Consider the following 1,292-nt stretch of genomic DNA (forward strand, 5'->3'; position numbering starts at 1 on the left):
GCAAGAATACCGTGAGTTCTCTTTCAAAATGTCTGTTAAACTTGAGGGCTTTGAAAATCTCTCCTTCAGAGAAATCTATCATCATGAGGCCATTGGCCCTTCACGGTGAGACTGCCATGGAGCGGCCTGATACTTAAACACTTGCCAATTACTGCTAGCTTCCTATGCGATGCCAAGCAACCATATGGAAACTGAAAAATTCAGCAAAAATCTGGATGCCTTTTCTATATGACAACAAATAATCAGATATTTGGAAACAAGAGATTATTTTTTAACTAAATCTTGAGTCATCCTCTGGAAATTTCTAAACACAACCTCAGAGGAAGTTATGGTGTTACCCATTTCATCCCGTCCTTCTCTGTTTTCTTCCTGGGTGATCTCATTCAATAATCATGCCCAAATCTGTATCCCAAGCCCTTAAAATCTCCTGGTCACCACTTCCAAAGGCCTCCCAAGCTTCCCTGATAGCAAGCCAACACTTTAGGCAAATTCATTCAGACGAATAAATTCTTCCCTCTCTCTTCCTTCTGCCTTACTCAGCACGTATTTCCATAATGGTCTGTGGTCTCTAGGGCTCACCAAATGTCCAAGTGCTCCCACATCTCCCAGCCTTGCTTGTAGGTAGAGGCCATGAACCTGGGTCTGGCCACTGGGATGTGAGGGATGGAGCGATTTCTAGGACCCATCCTTATAAAACATCCTGTGTGATTCTCTAGCTCTCTCTTCTCCTGTTATGTGACTTTAGAGGCCTCTTGTTCCAGATTGCAAAGCTACAGAATGGAGAAAGCCACCTGACTTTGCATTTGCATCAGACTTTGTGAATGAGTGAAATGAACCTTGCTTGGGTTACACCACTGAGATTTGGGGTTAATCTGCTGCTGCAGCCCAGCCTGGCCTATCCTGACTCATACCTCCAGGATGTCCCACAGACACCTCAGAGGCTACACGTTCACAGTTGCACCAGGCACTTTCTCCTTTACGTGTTCCTGACCTGGGGAAGTGGCATCATCGTTCCTCCTACCACTTCCTGGTTGTGTTTGACTCCTCCGTTTCTCACTTTGCACAAGAGGTGGTTCTGGGGACCCACCTCTATCTCCTCCTCTCCACACCTCCCCATGGCCTCCAAGCTTTCAGAAGCTGCCAGCATTAACTTTTAAAAACACAAACCTGACCATGCCATTCCTTTTCTTAAAATCCCTAGAAGGTCGTCTTTGAAGTCAGAATAAAGCACAAACCCTTTAGCACCCAAGACCTGTGGCCTTTGGGCCTGCCTCCCTCCAGTCTCTTGGCCT

This window comes from Homo sapiens, chromosome 4, assembly GCF_000001405.40.
Source record: "Homo sapiens chromosome 4, GRCh38.p14 Primary Assembly".
Taxonomy (NCBI): Eukaryota; Metazoa; Chordata; class Mammalia; order Primates; family Hominidae; genus Homo; species Homo sapiens.